The sequence below is a fragment of the Homo sapiens genome, chromosome 7 (genome assembly GCF_000001405.40).
Source record: "Homo sapiens chromosome 7, GRCh38.p14 Primary Assembly".
NCBI lineage: Eukaryota > Metazoa > Chordata > Mammalia > Primates > Hominidae > Homo > Homo sapiens.
Window position 1 is genome coordinate 158262249 of NC_000007.14, and position 16155 is coordinate 158278403.

The following is a 16155-nucleotide window of genomic DNA, read 5'->3' on the forward strand; positions in this document are numbered from 1 at the left end:
CTCACAGATGCACACTGCAACACATATACACACATTCACACACACCGCACACACATTCACACACTGCACACACATTCACACACACTGCACACATATTCACACACACTGCAAACATTCACTGCACACACATACACACATTCACACACACTGCACACACACATACATACATTCACACACATACACACATTCACACACACTGCACACGCAGATTCACACACTGCAAACATTCACGCTGCACACACATACATGCACACACACTGCACACACATTCACACACTGCACACATACACACATTCACACACTGCACACACTACACACACATTCACACACAGCACACACATTCACACACATTCACACACACTGCACACACACATACATTCACACTGCAAACATTCACTGCACACACTGACACACTGCACGCACATTCACACATACACACATTCACACACACTGCACAGATTCACACACATTGCGCACACATACATTCACACACTGCACATATACACACACTGCACACACACATTCACACACACTACACACATACACATTCACACACTACACACATTCACACTGCACACATTCACACACTACACACACATACATACATTCACACACATTCACACACTGCACACACATACATTCACACACACTGCAAACATTCACACTGCACACACATTCACACACTGCACACACACATTCACACACATACACACATTCACACACTGCACACATACAGATTCACACACATTGCACACACACATTCACACACAGTGCACACATACATATTCACAAAATGCACATATACATTCACATTGCACACACACATCACACACACCACACACATTCACACACTGCACACACACACTGCACACACATACACATATACACACATTCACACACTGCACACAGTCACACATTCACACACACTGCACACACATTCACACACACTGCACATGCGGTACCTGTGTGCACCCGCATGTGCCTACTGTATGCATGCATTTACACACTTGTGCATGCACTGCACGTGTTGCACTCACAGTCACATGTGCACACCGTGTGTGGGTGTACACACAGCTGTACCTACTGCACATGTACATGTGTACACATATGAGCACACACATGCACACTGTACACACACGTGCACATCCACATTCATCCACAATGCACAAACACATGCACACACACACAGGCACACACACACAGCCATCTTCTCCCGACCGCATCCCACAGGAGGGGCTTCCTCACCCCATGCTGCCTGGGTTTGGGGCAGGCCCATCAGCATCTGCTCAGCTTGCTCTGGAGGACTTTGCCCCACCGTTGTTTGTGTATTTCCCATCGCTCTGCCACAGAGCCTCTGGGTGCTGGGTGAGGGTCTACTTCCAAATTCCTCTCCCGGGCATTCCAGCTCCTGGCTTCTGTGGCCTGCTGGCTAAGGGGAAGGCACAGCCATGGGTGGGCGCCCAGCACCTCAACGGCCCTTTTCCCACCAGGGACCCCTCCAAAGCACCCGTGGCACCTGGGGAGAACCTCCTGCCAGTTGTGGACACCTCCCTGCATGGGACACTGAGTGAGAGGCACTTGAAAATGTGAAAGCAAGGCTGCAATGACGGCCGAGCCAGAGAGCAGCACCTCCCTAGCACACCCTGCACCCAGCGGAGGTGGCTGAACACCCGCGTCACTCAGCAAACTCCACGGTGATGTGGGCCAGCTGACCAACTTCATCTAGAGCCACTGGGCTCCCTAAATTCAAGTCCAACTCTACCCCTGCCACTCTCACGCTTCCCACCTTCATCTTCCAGTGCAGGACTTTGGAGCGGCAAACGGTTATTATTTAGAAGGAGGTCACATGGTGAAAGTCCAAGCCTCCTCACCTTCTAGTCAAGGCTTGCTGATAACATTGTCCCTAACGAACAGCCGCAGCAGCGCGTCAGGCAGAATGAGCCTCTGTTTAGAGTTGGTAACGACCGCCTGAAAATGTCGTGGTAGAAATAAAACCATGCAATTCAGTAGGGGAAATAAAATACATATCCAGATGGAACTGCACTGAGACGCTGGCACACTGACATCTCAAGTTAGACAATCATTTACCACTCAAAGCACCGTGGAGTGAAGGTAGCTTCCCAGGGCAGTTTGCTGAGCTCTTCCTGCGTGCTGGACACACACGGTCCAAAGATCGTGCTGAGCTCTTCCTACATGCTGGACACACACAGCCTGAAGTTCACCGCCTAAGCCACACTCCTGTCCATACGACAGATCGCCATGGGCCACACGTGACATGTGCATGGGTACCTGCAGCAGCCGGTGGCAGCAGGTGACAGTGGGGACCATCGAGATGGCCCTTGCAACAGTCTAGGAAGAGACTCACTGCCCCAGATTCACCTCGAGACTCCAAATGGTCTCAGGTCCCTTGCGGGGACCAAAGGCCGGGAGCCAGGAGCCGTGGGCTCTCTCCTAATGCTCTTCCTCCATGCCCAGGCTCCAGGACTGCCTCAAGTGTGCACTGAAAACTGCCCCATTCCGAAAAGCCAGCTTGCACCTTCTTGTTCCTGGTAGGGTTCCAGAACAGCGATGCTGCTTCTCACGTGGGGTCCCTGGTCCTTGCTGGCACTTTCCTTGATGCCCGGGAGGAGCTGTCCCATGGAGTTTTGGGGTCCTCCTCCTCTTCCCTCCCTTTTCTGCCTTTACACGAAGAGCCCCCTGACCCTCACCTGCTAGAGCAGTCGAGGTCCGCCTGTTCACAACAGCCCTCCTGGCCATGGGCTCTCCTACTCCAGGCCCCACAGCCCCCAAGCCTGGTGACATTCCCCCAGGTCACTTTCTATCTGCTCCAGGTAGGCTACCTCCCAGCCCCCAAGGTAGTGCATGCTTCGTATGTGTTCCGCAGGCCCCTGGCCCGGTGGAGCAGTGACTTGCTCAGAAACTAGCAAGGCCTCTCGGTAGTGGCCTCCCACTGACCTGGCTCCCCACCTGCCATCCACTATGCTCCTGGTGCTGGAAACACCCCCATGTGGCTCAGAGTGGTCCCCAGAGGCCCCTGACACAGACACGAGCACATACCTGCAGGCACACACCTGCAGGGGCACACTTGTGGATGCACACCTGCAGGCAGGTACATACCTATGGGCACATACTTGCAGGCAGGCACCCACCTGCGGGCACACACCTGTGGGCACACACCTGTGGGCACACCTGCAGGCAGGTACACACCGACGGGACACACCTGGAGGTAGGCACCCACCTGCAGGCACCCACCCACAGGTGCATATATCCCCCCATGTCCACCCTCTGCACAGCCCCCTTGCCAGGCTGCCCTCTGCACATTTCTGTTTGGTCCCAGACTCTGGGTGAAGGGATCACCTGGTGCCATCATCAGTCTATCACCAGCCCTCAGAGAAGTGCCTCAGCAGGAGGCCTGGCAGAACTGTGTGAGGCTGCCCAGCAGCACAGCCCCGGGTACACAGCGTGGCATTTGATGAGTACAGCTGGAAATGAATGAGCAGAGGCACCATGAGGACATGGTCCAGGCACACATCAAAGGCGGTGGCCAGAGGCCGCCTGGCTCCCCATCAGCAGGAGCTTCAGCCCTGCCTTTGGGTGGAGGCCCACAGAGCCCCGCCATGGAACACAGAATCAGAGTCTGCGTGGGGGCTGCGTCCACCCCATCTGTTTGCCCAGCTTCTCTCTCTAGCATGCTCAGACCCCACAGAGGCGCAGGGCTCCTTCGCCTCCCCAGGGGTTGGGGACCCCTGGTCTGGAGGACCAGTGGGGACAGTGTCTGCTGCGGTGTGATGTCTGGCAGTGAGGCTGGGGACGGCGTCTGCTGCGGGGTATTGTCTGGCAGTGAGGCTGGGGACGGCGTCTGCTGCGGGGTATTGTCTGGCAGTGAGGCTGGGGACGGCGTCTGCTGCGGGGTATTGTCTGGCAGTGAGGCTGGGGACGGCGTCTGCTGCGGGGTATTGTCTGGCAGTGAGGCTGGGGACGGCGTCTGCTGCGGGGTATTGTCTGGCAGTGAGGCTGGGGACGGCGTCTGCTGCGGGGTATTGTCTGGCAGTGAGGCTGGGGACGGCGTCTGCTGCGGGGTATTGTCTGGCAGTGAGGCTGGGGACGGCGTCTGCTGCGGGGTATTGTCTGGCAGTGAGGCTGGGGACGGTGTCTGCTGCGGGGTATTGTCTGGCAGTGAGGCTGGGGATGGTGTCTGCTGCGGGGTGTTGTCTGGCAGTGAAGCTGGGGACGGTGTCCGCTGCAGTGTGATGTCTGGCAGTGAGGCTGGGGACGGTGTCTGCTGCGGTGTGATGTCTGGCAGAAAGAGCCGGGGCCAGTGTGGCTGTGAGCATCAGGCCTGAATTCCGTGAACTGAGGAACAGCCTGACAGAGGGACCCAGCAGCAGCGGCCTCAGGACAGGCACAACGGCCACTTCCCGGCTTAACCTGGGCAGAGAGACGAGAGCCACTTCCCGGCTTTAACCTGGGCAGAGAGATGAGAGTTCTGTAATTTTTGAAGATTGAATTCAGTCTGATAAATAATTCAAAGTACATTGCCTGACCCCATTAAAAAATGGAGTTCAAATATGCCAAATTTTTAAAACTTCATCCATTGGCTGCACAAACAGGAAAGTGGGCTCCAGTGGCCCTGGCTGGTGGTTCAGATGCCGCTGTGGGGCCGGCCTTCAGGGGTGGTGGGGTGGCCCAGCTGCCTCCACCCCAGCTCCCTCCCACGTCTACATCCAAGATGTCTGGCTTCCACTTTCCGTGTCACTAAAGGGCGGGGAAGCTGCAGGGGAGGTGCCTCATCTGCAGCGTCGTCTCCAGTGACTGGCACCTCAGACAGCCCCACACCCGCGGCAGGTCCCGCCTGGCACTCGGGAAGCTCTTGCATTTAAGAGATCTAGAAATGTTGACACTTTGCGTGGAATTTTAAAAGCTGCTTAATCAGGAAGGAGCCAGTCAGGAAAAGGGACCTGCCAACCTGCTTGTTAGCCGAGCAGCGAGGCACTGTGAGCACACGGGATGATGGGTGCTGGGTGCTGGAGTTGACCGGCTGGCCCGGCAGAGCTGGTTCCCGCGGGGAACCCCGGGGGCGTGGTGCTCACAGCAACCTTGTTAGAAGGGACACTGGGGAGGGTGTGTGCTCTCTCCATCTGGAGCCGCCTGGAAGCCAGGGAGCATGTTTTTGTGTGAGTGTTGATTGTGGACAACGCCCAGACCCTGCCTGCAGCACAGAGGAATTCCAGGTGTCAAAGCGATAGGAATTCAGGGAGATGATGGACGTGGGCTCCACACCCCACCTTCCACCTCAAGGAGGTGGCAGTGGGAACCCTTACACGGGGGTGACTGAGCATCTGAGCGGGATCACCGTGGCCTGGGGGCCTGCCCCTCGCCCCTGAGAGCTCCTGGTTAGAGCCGTTGTGGGCACAGCCTAAGCTTCTGCAGGCCTTCTCTCTCACCTCTCTCATATCCTTCCATCATTTAAGTAGATTAAACTCAGAAACATTTTTAGTGCTGTGTACAAACCAAGGGCAGCAAAAAACCCAACCTCTATGCCAGGCTGAGCTTCTGTTCTTCCTGACTCTACAGCAAGAGCTCTGGGCATCTCTCCACGTGACCAGCTGTGACCACGGACTTAGGAACACTGTTTCCTACCTCCTTCACCTCACCTCCCTGCCACCTCCAGCCCGTAATTTAGAGAGAAGCTGATGCAGTTGACTCTTCCCAGCTTGCCATTTAAACGCACACTGGGTTATGTGCACAGAGATGCTGCCCCAGTGACTGTATTTGGGTAACTGTTTCACCCTCGTGGTGTGACAGCCCATTTGAGCGCTCTTCAAGGCACGAGATCCTCAGCACCGTCAACAAGTCTGTGTCTCACCTGCAATCACAGCTCATTGAGCCGCCAGCTAATTAGAGAGCCCCTAAGTGAATCAGTGACACAATGCCGCCTGCAAAAGCATCAGAGCCGCGGCCGCACGCACACAGAGCGGGGTGTGAGATATCCCAGCCGCACACACACAGAGCGGGGTGTGAAATATCCCAGCCCAGACGCGTGCACACGGGGCGGGTGTGAAATATCCCAGCCGCACGCACACAGGGCGGGTGTGAAATATCCCAGCTGCACGCACACAGAGTGGGGTGTGAAATATCCCAGCCGCACGCACACAGGGCGAGTGTGTAATATCCCAGCCGCATGCACACAGGGCAGGTGTGAAATATCCCAGCTGCACACACACAGGGTGGGTGTGAAATATCCCAGCCCAGCCACAAACAGGGCGGGTGTGAAATATCCCAGCCACACGCACACAGGGCGGGTGTGTAATATCCCAGCCGCACGCACACAGGGCGGGTGTGAAATATCCCAGCCGCAGGCACACAGGGCGGGTGTGAAATATCCCAGCCGCACACACACAGGGCGGGTGTGAAATATCCCAGCCGTGTGCACACAGAGAGGGTGTGAAATATCCCAGCCCAGCCGCACACAGAGAGGGTGTGAAATATCCCAGCCCAGCCGCACACAGGGCGGGTGTGAAATATCCCAGCCGCACACACACAGGGCGGGTGTGAAATATCCCAGCCGCACGCACACAGGGTGGGTGTGAAATATCCCAGCCGCACACACACAGGGCGGGTGTGAAATATCCCAGCCGCACGCACACAGAGTGGGGTGTGAAATATCCCAGCCGCGTGCACACAGGGCGGGTGTGAAATATCGCAGCCACATTGTTGTTGAAAGCCGTTGCCGGGCCTGAAAATCGCAGCTTTTTGAACGCACACACTGAACCTCCCCGGCTTTGTTTTCTAGGAAGGACGTGGCGGCTGCTGCCCAACTTTGAACGGAGGAGCACAGGAGGAGCTCCAAGGCCCCTCAGGAGTCGCCACTGTTGCCTCCGGTCACCCCCACCTTCTGTTGGAGTGGCCTTCAGGGAAAATGCCCCAAAGGGGCCTCCTAGGAGCCCCTGCCCGACCCCGCCCCAGATGCTCCCTCCCATCGCCAAACCTCGTCTCCTCATCTATGGAAGGAGAACAAGGAGACGGCCCTCACCTAGCAGTGTAACCCTGAATGCCAAGGCCATGCCTGGTGCAGAAAGGCCCAAACACCAGCCTCAGGAGGCGCGGCCATCCCCGTCATCACACCTGGTTTCTGCTTTGACCTTTGCTGCCAATAAATGTGAGCAGCTGCCATCCTGTGCCCAGTCCCCGGGGCATACCTGCAGCCCAGGCTGGCTGTCTTTGCTTCCCAGACACCTGGGAAGTCTGGGCTCTGGGGAAGACATTCTGCAGCTCTAATTTTAAAACTATTTGGCATTTTCAAATCCAGTTTTCAAGTCCCTGGGGTGGGTAAAGGATGCTTCAAGAAGAAAGTGCTCTGAGCCAGAGTAGGAACAATGGTGAAGGGTCCAGGATGGCACAGGACGGGAGCCTGCCAGGTGGTTCTGCCAGGGCCCAGGAGGACAGCAAAGTCAGCTGACGGCTGGGACCAAGAGACAGAAACAGAGAGACAGAGACAGAGAGAGACAGAGACAGAGGAACAGAGACAGAGAGAGAGACAAAGGGAGCAGGAGAGGGACAGAGACAGAGATAGAAAGAGACAGAGGGATAGGGAGTCGGAGACACAGAGACAGAGAGAGACAGAAAGAGACAGAGAGAGACAGAGAGACAGAGACATAGAGACAGAGAAACAGAGAGACAGAGATAGAGAGACACAGGGAGACAGAGAGAAAGAATCAGAGACAGAGATAGCCAGAGAACAGCAGAGACAGAGTCCCAGCAGTTGCCCGTCCACTCTCTGCCTGACCTGCAATCTGCCTCTTCTGACCTTGGATGTGCCCCAACCAGAGCTTTTGCAGGAGGGGCTGCTCACTGTGGAGGGGAGCCCAGAGCTGGACCATCAGGAGACCCAGGACAGACGCCCCACAGCAAAAGCCAGGACACCTGAACTGGTCAGGCCAGCAGTGACTCAGGGCCTGGAGAGCCCCGTGGGCAGAGGCTGCCTGGAAGGCTCCACCGGCCAAGGGCAGGTCAGCAAGGCAAGTCATGGCCAGAAGGCAGAAGGGCCAGCACAAAGGCCAGCTTTATAGGTGCAGAGCGGGAGCCAGGCGGGGGCACTGGGAGCACAGGCATGGTTCTCGGGGTGAGGACGCCTCCTTGGCCCCACTCCATGTCACTGGTGACTGGTCAACAAGGTGCAAGCTGCTACCTTCACAGAGGGTGATCCTACCGGAGACAGATGAGCCTCACTCACTGGCCATAACGTGCCCCCGACCCCCTGGCTCCCTCTGCCTATGACCAGGCCAGGCCCCCTGCAGTGGGTGCTGCTATCACAATTGAGGGCTGAACACCCCAGGGGAAACTGAGTCCTTTCAGGGCAGTAATAAGGGAAGGTTTCGACCACTGTTAGCTGCAGAAGGGCCAACCCCTTTACCTGGCTGTCCCTCTCCCTGGGAGCTTGCTGGGCCACCCCTCTACTGGGCTGCCCCTCTCCCTGGGGTGCCTTCTCTACCTGAGCCGTCTTCTCCACCTGGACCACCCCGTCCACCTGGACCACCCCTCCACCTGGACCACCCCCTCACCTGGACCGCCCCCTCCACCTGGATGACCCCCTCACCTGGACCGCCCCCCCACCTGGACCGCCCCCTCCACCTGGATGACCCCCTCCACCTGGACCACCCCCCCCACCTGGACCACCCCCCCCACCTGGACCACCCCCCCACCTGGACCACCCCTCCACCTGGACCACCCCCTCCACCTGGGCCTCCCCATCCACCTGGACCACCCCTCCACCTGGACGGCCCCCTCCACCTGGGCCTCCCCCCAACCTGGGCCACCCCCTCCACCTGGACGACCCCCTCCACCTGGGCTGCCCCCTCCACCTGGACCACCCCCTCCACCTGGGGTGTGCCAGAGGGAGTAACTGTGGGATGGAAACAAAATTCGACTCTAGTGGGTGGCCAGGAGAGGTCACGTGCTGCTTCTCTTGTGTTGTGAATGCAGCGGTCAGCCGCAAAACACCAAATGACACCCAGTCACTGGAATTCTTGGATTAAATGCTTTTGATGCACATATATCCTCTCCACACACTGCATAATTAACTGAATATCCGACAATCGGCAGATCCATACTGTTGAAGCTGGACTAGCCACAACTTATCATTAAAGTATTCAATTACATAATTTATAATGAAAAGCCACAATCAACGCTAAGCAATACCAATGGTCACAATTCATCAGGGTCCTTCCCAAAACTGTGGGACTCTCAGCAGAGTCCACATGCACGGGACGGGGGCAACACAGCCAAGCCCCATGGGGCAATCCAGCTTCTCTGCAGACACTGCTGGCTTTTAGTTTGTGCCAAATTTTAATAAACGTTAATAACTCACTTGATAGGTGTCTCAGCCCATGCAGGCTGCTATAAGAAAATACCATAGCTTGGGTAATTGATAAACAACAGAGGTTTCTTTCTCACAGTTCTGGAGATACCCACAGATTCGGTGTCGGTGAGCGCCCACTTTTTGGTTGGGCCTTCCCCTGTCATCTCACAGCAGAAGGGGTGAAGAAGCGTCCTGAGGCCTCTTTCAGAAGCGCATTAGCCCATCCGTGAGGCTCTTCCTCAGGGCCTCAGCGCCTTGCAAAGGCCCCTAACACCATGGCCTTGGGTGAGGATTTCCATGTAGGAACTGGAGGCGTGGGGTAGGCGGACACAAACCTTCAGTCGCTATGGCAATTGTGACTAATAAGTAATTTGTACTTATATACAAAAATGAATTCGTTTGACATTCTTTTAGGGTTAAAAGCTGCACCATCAAAAGACGGTCAGGTTGTTCCCTCCTCATTTAAGCCAATTTTAAAACGATTTTTCCTCCTACAACGTGAAAATGATCACAGGGTGCCATCAGGTGACTATGCACACTTCGTGCTGAGCTGGCAGAGGAGGGTCTAGAGTGAAGCCCATCTCAAGCCAAGTGGAACTGGTCCAAATGGAAAAACAGCCCCCCGGGACGTCTTGTCTTCGGAGAGCCGCGTCTCCGGGGCCCGGGCAGGCCCTGTGGTCTCCCTGCCTGGGCTGTACTTGCTCAGCCTTTTGCAACTGCCCGGTACCAACGGTCAAGGATGAGAATTGCAGCAGAGCTTTAAAGACTTGGGTCCCAACGTCACTGTCTATTGACTGAGTTTTTCAAGTGGTTTGAGTCAGAAGTAGGGATATACCTTCAATTAGAGTCCTGAATTTTAGGCATTACTTACCAAAAACACTGAGCAGGTTTGCCCAGAAAATACAGTCTGCATGGAACTTCCACATCCCCTCACTCTCTACCAGAACGGCAGCCCACCTCAAAGACACCGCACGCGGCCCACCTGCCTTGCACCCCAGACACCAGGGTTGAAAGCCTGAGTCCAGGCAGGAGCCAACCTCACAGAGTCAAATCTCGGAGCACCAGGTGAGGGGAGGTCTCAGCGCCACTGCCGGGATAAGCCCTCAGGATGGAGACAGTCGCATCTGCCAGATCCCTTTCACCAGACTGCAGAGTGAGGTGAAACCAGGGCCTCATAGGTGTGAGGGCCATCGGGGAGGTGCCGCCGGCAGAAGGAGAGGTGGGAAGGCTGAGTGGATGGAAGGATCAGGAATGACCAGGAGGAAGCTACAGTCAATAGCTGATGGGGCTTGGCTGTGTTGCCCCCCAGCCCGGTGCATGCAGACTCTGCTGACAGTCCCACGGTTTGGGACTCTCGTTTCACTCATTCATCATTTATTGAGCATCAGGGAATATGAAAGTGGCCATGGGCCTCCAAACAGCTCAGAATGTAAAGGGGAAGAGCTCTGTGCTGTAGCTGCAACTCCAGCCACAAGGAAGACAAGACCCAGGGCTGTGGGACGAAGGGGAGAGAGGACTCAGGCCCCAGCTGCAGGATTCGAGTGCCCTTCGGGAGTGAGCTCGCAGGGGAGGAACCCTCCTAGGACAGGGCACGTGGAGCTCCAGGCAGCCTCTCCAGGGCCCTGCGTGTGCTGTTTCTCTGTCTTGAAAATGACACCGAACGTTTATGGCCAGTGAGCACCCACCGCAAGCCCACACTGTGAGCTCCTTGCCTGCTGGGGAGGCCAGGAGATGCAGAACCAAGGGCAGAAGCACTGCCTGCAGCCCTGTCCCAGCGTCGTGGATGCAGACACGGGAGGAGCCGCAGACAGACGCGGGAGGAGCCGCAGACAGACGCGGGAGGAGCCGCAGACGCAGGGGGAGCCGCAGGCACAGGGGGAGCCGCAGGCACAGGGGGAGCCGCAGACAGACATGGGAGGAGCCGCAGACACGGGGAGCCGCAGACACAGGGGGAGCCGCAGGCACAGGGGGAGCCGCAGACAGACATGGGAGGAGCCGCAGACACGGGGAGCCGCAGGCATGGGGGAGCCGCAGACAGACATGGGAGGAGCCGCAGACACGGGAGGAGCCGCAGACACAGGGAGCCGCAGACACAGGGGGAGCTGCAGACACAGGAGGAGACACACAAGGAGCCGCAGACACAGGGGGAGCCACAGACAGACATGGGAGGAGCCGCAGACACGGGGAGCCGCAGACACAGGGGGAGCCGCAGGCATGGGGGAGCCGCAGACACAGGGGGAGCCGCAGACACAGGAGGAGACACACGAGGAGCCGCAGACGCAGGAGGAGCCGCAGACAGACGCGGGAGGAGCCGCAGACACAGGGGGAGCCGCAGACACAGGGGGAGCTGCAGACAGACATGGGAGGAGCCGCAGACACAGGGAGCCGCAGACACAGGGAGCCGCAGACACAGGGGGAGCCGCAGACACAGGAGGAGACACACGAGGAGCCGCAGGCACAGGGGGAGCCGCAGACACAGGGGGAGCTGCAGACAGACATGGGAGGAGCCGCAGACACGGGGAGCCGCAGACACAGGGAGCCGCAGACACAGGGGGAGCCGCAGACACAGGAGGAGACACACGAGGAGCCGCAGACACAGGGGGAGCCGCAGACAGACATGGGAGGAGCCACAGACACGGGAGCCGCAGACACGGGGAGCCGCAGACACAGGGGGAGACGCAGACACAGGAGGAGACACACAAGGAGCCGCAGCCACAGGGGGAGCCGCAGACGCGGGAGAGCCACAGACACAGGGGGAGCCGCAGACACAGGGGGAGCCGCAGGCACAGGGGGAGCCACAGGCACAGGGGGAGCCGCAGACAGACATGGGAGGAGCCGCAGACACGGGGAGCCGCAGACACAGGAGGAGACACACGAGGAGCCGCAGGCACAGGGGGAGCCACAGGCACGGGGGAGCCGCAGGCACAGGGGGAGCCACAGACACCCTCACACTCCGGGATCTAGCGTGTGTGGACGAGCCCGAGGCGCTCGGCCCAGCTTGTCAGCAGCCTTCCTGGGAACGCTGTGGAAATGTGTGGAGGGGCCGCGTGGCTTCCTGCTGCCTGGGACGACATTACTGCATCTGCATTTGAGGTGTGGGGCCCAGAGGGGCTCAGGTACCCTACGGGGGGAGTCACCCCATGACCAGGAATCACGCTGTGGCCACACACAGGGAGCCTGACTGCAGCTTTCTGGAGGAGAACGTGGTTGCATTTCACATAGAAACACAGGTCATTTTGTTTCTGAAGAATTCATTCCGAATATTTATTTGCTACTTGACAAAGAAGAGACTTCATCAGGGATAAGATCTCGACAAAGACCATCTCCTGGCTGCCTTTTATATTCAAATCCACCACAGATCAACTCCTGGGGCGTAGCAGAGTCCTGTCTCCCCCCAAAATAGGGAGCACTTTCTGATTGTGGGGTTCAAAAAGCTGCCTTCTGAGGGTAAAGGGTGTTCTTACCAGGAAAGAGGAGACAGAACAATGAAGTCCCCAGGGGCCGGCAGCAGTGCCGAGGAGCCCCGGGGAAGAGCTCAAGCCAGTGGCCAAGCCTGGACCAGCCTCCAGCAGGGACAGCACCGTGGCTGTGGGGACAGTGGGGACAGCGCCTCGGGGCCACAGAGACGTGCTCCCTGGACGTTGGCCCAGGTGCCTGCCCACTTCCTCGGAGGGCCTCTGAACAAGCTGCAGGGCTGTCTCCATGGGAAGGCGCGCACCTCCTCACGCCTCTCCAGGGAAGCCACAGCTTCACTGTGCTGGCAGACCCACTCTGTTTTTTCTACATTGCCTAGAGTTCGGCTATTTTTCTCTTCCCAAAGAGCCTACCCAGCAAATTTTACTGGACAAAGTGCCTGGAACAAAGCAGCCAACAATAAAACTGGCGTGCACCCCATGAATAAAGGCGTCGCCCAGAAAATGCTCTAAATTAGGATTTAATTGCTAGAAATTACTTTCAATTACAAAAATTGCAATAAATTACTTGTTGAATAGACACATTCTTTCACCACCATTAATAATTTAAAATTGCTAATTGCACGTAATCGCAAGTAATTTTTGTTCTTTGGTGAGAATCGAGGTACTACGTTATGTGGGGTGGGTTTGCCAGGGCTGGCCCCCACCCTGCGCACCTCCACGTGTGGCAGGCAGAGCCGAACTCCCAGAAGAAGAGTTGCAGTGATGGGGCCTCCACCGCCAAAGCCACGGACCTGGTGCAGTTCATAAGGTGGCCTCCTCCCTCCATCAGCCCCTCAGGGACAACAGGTGGCCAAGGGGGTGACCTTCCCAAGGAGCTGGTCCCTCCGCCATCCTGAGAACAGTGAATTTGTATTTGCAGTAAAACCCAGATTCTCCAGAAAACGTCTTGCTGTCAGCATCCCCGCCGCCTTACACGTGCTATGGCTGCCCTCTGACTCTGCTGCCTGACTTTTATCTGCACAAATCCTACAGTCTCCTGGGAGCCCACCGGTCAGCCAGCTGCCTCCAGGGGTGCGTCTCCTCTCAGCTTCCTCTTCCATCTGAACCTTCCCTCCCTCCCCAAGTGTTCGTCCCTTGTCCACCTGGAAAGCCTCTCTGCCCTTGAAGCACAGCTCCTGCCCTGGCCCCGGCAGGCTGTAAGGTAGCACCCCCACATCCCGGTCCTGGTAGCACCCCCACACTCTGGCCCCAACAGGCTGTAAGGCAGCACCCCCACACCCCGGCCCCGACAGGCTGTAATGTATCACCCCCGCACCCCGGCCCCGACAGGCTGTAAGGCAGCACCCCCACACCCCGGCCCCAACAGGCTGTATCACCCCCCACACCCCGGCCCCGACAGGCTGTAAGGCAGCACCCCCACACCCCGGCCCCAACAGGCTGTAATGTATCACCCCCACACCCCGGCCCCGACAGGCTGTAAGGCAGCACCCCCACACCCCGGCCCCGACAGGCTGTAAGGCAGCACCCCCACACCCTGGCCCTGGGCAGTCGTGGTGACCGCATGGCCTTGTTGGTAGCTTCCTTCTTTATTAACTTGGCCCCATTTATTAACCACCAGCTTCCTGAGGGATGAAACCATGCTTCCAGCGTTTCCAGGCCCACACAGCACTGTGCCAGGGGCTCCAGGGAAGCTGATGGATGTGGGTGCTATGACACCAGCTGCTGCGGGGCCCTGATGCCATGGCTGGGAAGGACGTCGGCCTGGGGACGCTCAGCTGGCAGGATATGCCTCCCCAGGTGTGCGGGCGGCCTCCTCGTAGTGGAGGCAGGGGCGGAGGGTGCGAGGCATGCCACTGTGAGCTGGGGCCGAGGGGGCCATATGCTCAGGTGCTGTCTATCAGCTCTGGAGGGAGAAGCCAAACTCTCAGGCAGCCCACAGCGGGGTGAGGACCGGGCTCCGTCCCCTCTAACAGGGTGGGGTGGGGGGCACTGACTGGTCGGACCCTGCAAGATCCCCACGGGCAAGAGTGGCTGATCAGAGCTCCATGAACAGCCCCTTCGTCAGAAGCCATCCTCTCACACACGTGCACACACACACACACGTGCCCGCACACGCACACACGCGCACATACACGTGCACATAAACATGCTCTTCTCACGTCGCAGTGGATTTCTCTTGCACTGTTGCTTTAAGAACTGTCAGAGCGGTGAGATGACGGCAGCCTGTGCGAATCGGCCTCCAGCCTCCTCGGGGTCCTGCCCACTCTGTTCGCCATTCGGTCCCACACCTCAGCCACAACGGGCAGTCAGGGCTTCAGCCACTCCACGGGCACCAATGCTGAAGACCACAGAGGAATGTGCTCCAGACGGAGGAGGCCGGGCCCAGGCCTGATGGAGACACGGACGTTTGTACCTGAAGCCCTCAAGTCTGCCCTATAAAGGAGATGAACCCTGAAAACACTGACCCCTGAAATCAGCAAGAGGAGGCGGCTACAGTGCCAGGACCTAACCCGCGCTCTCCCAAGTCTCCTCCTCATCACACAGCTCCCGAGGCCTGCCAGAAGCACCCCTTGAAGGCACTGTCAGGGCCTTGCCACACTGCTGCACGAGGTGCACACGCAGGGGCTGGGACATATAGCTCTGGCCTTGCCTCCAAGTCTGTCTCCAAAACAATGAGCTGGGGAAGAGAAACTCTGTACGGTCCTCCCTACTCCCTTGCCCGGCCGGGGTTGTGGTCAGGCCACCCTGGGAAAGAGGAGCAGCCCAGGGCAGCTACAGAGGCTCCTCCTCCCACCTGGGGAGAGGAATCCGCCTTCAGGGAGCAGCCCATGCCCTCCCTGGCTTCTCCTGTCTGGCATCACGGCTGCGGCAGAGTCTAAGAGAAAGGCTCTCAGCCGGGCAGGACCACCAGGCACACAAGGGGGGGATGGGAGTTAGAGGTGCCAGCCCTGCTCCTGACCTCCCTGACCTCCAGCACATAACAGGGAGGCCAGGTCCTTGTCTGACACACCCAGAGAATCATCAGATCCAAGGCCCGGGGTGGCCGGGGACCAAGTATGGCTCCTATGAGAAAACAGGCGTCTGCAGGAGGCCTGAGCCTGCCCCACCAGCCTCAGCACGTAACATGTCTAGAACATTCCTAGAGCCAGAAGGATGTAGGAACTTCCTTCCAGAATACACTTCCCAGTGGACAGGGAAATGGGAATCGAATGCAGGGACCACCCACCACCTGCCAGGGGACCTCTGACCCCAGGGAGGAGGAAACAAGGTCAAATCCCAAGACCAGCCTGTGCAACATGATGAAACCCCGTCTCTACTAAAATACAAAAAAAAAAAAAAATTCAGCTGGACGTGAAGGTGGGCACCTGTAATCCCAGCTAC

The 16155-nt window shown here is 57.7% G+C and overlaps 1 protein-coding gene across 14 annotated transcripts in view, besides 1 other annotated feature; it reads right to left on the reverse strand.

Annotated features, from left to right (window-relative positions):
* PTPRN2 (protein tyrosine phosphatase receptor type N2) overlaps positions 1–16155 on the reverse strand; it is a 1048768-nt gene that overhangs the window by 723193 nt on the left and 309420 nt on the right. The gene's annotated exons all lie outside the window — the stretch shown is intronic.
* Positions 14250–14994: an enhancer, noted in NCBI's record as "H3K4me1 hESC enhancer chr7:158069190-158069934 (GRCh37/hg19 assembly coordinates)". NCBI's record gives its function as "activates a minimal SCP1, AML or CMV promoter by ChIP-STARR-seq in primed H9 embryonic stem cells {active_cell/tissue: H9 hESC(primed)}" and the evidence as "EXISTENCE:reporter gene assay evidence [ECO:0000049][PMID:30033119]".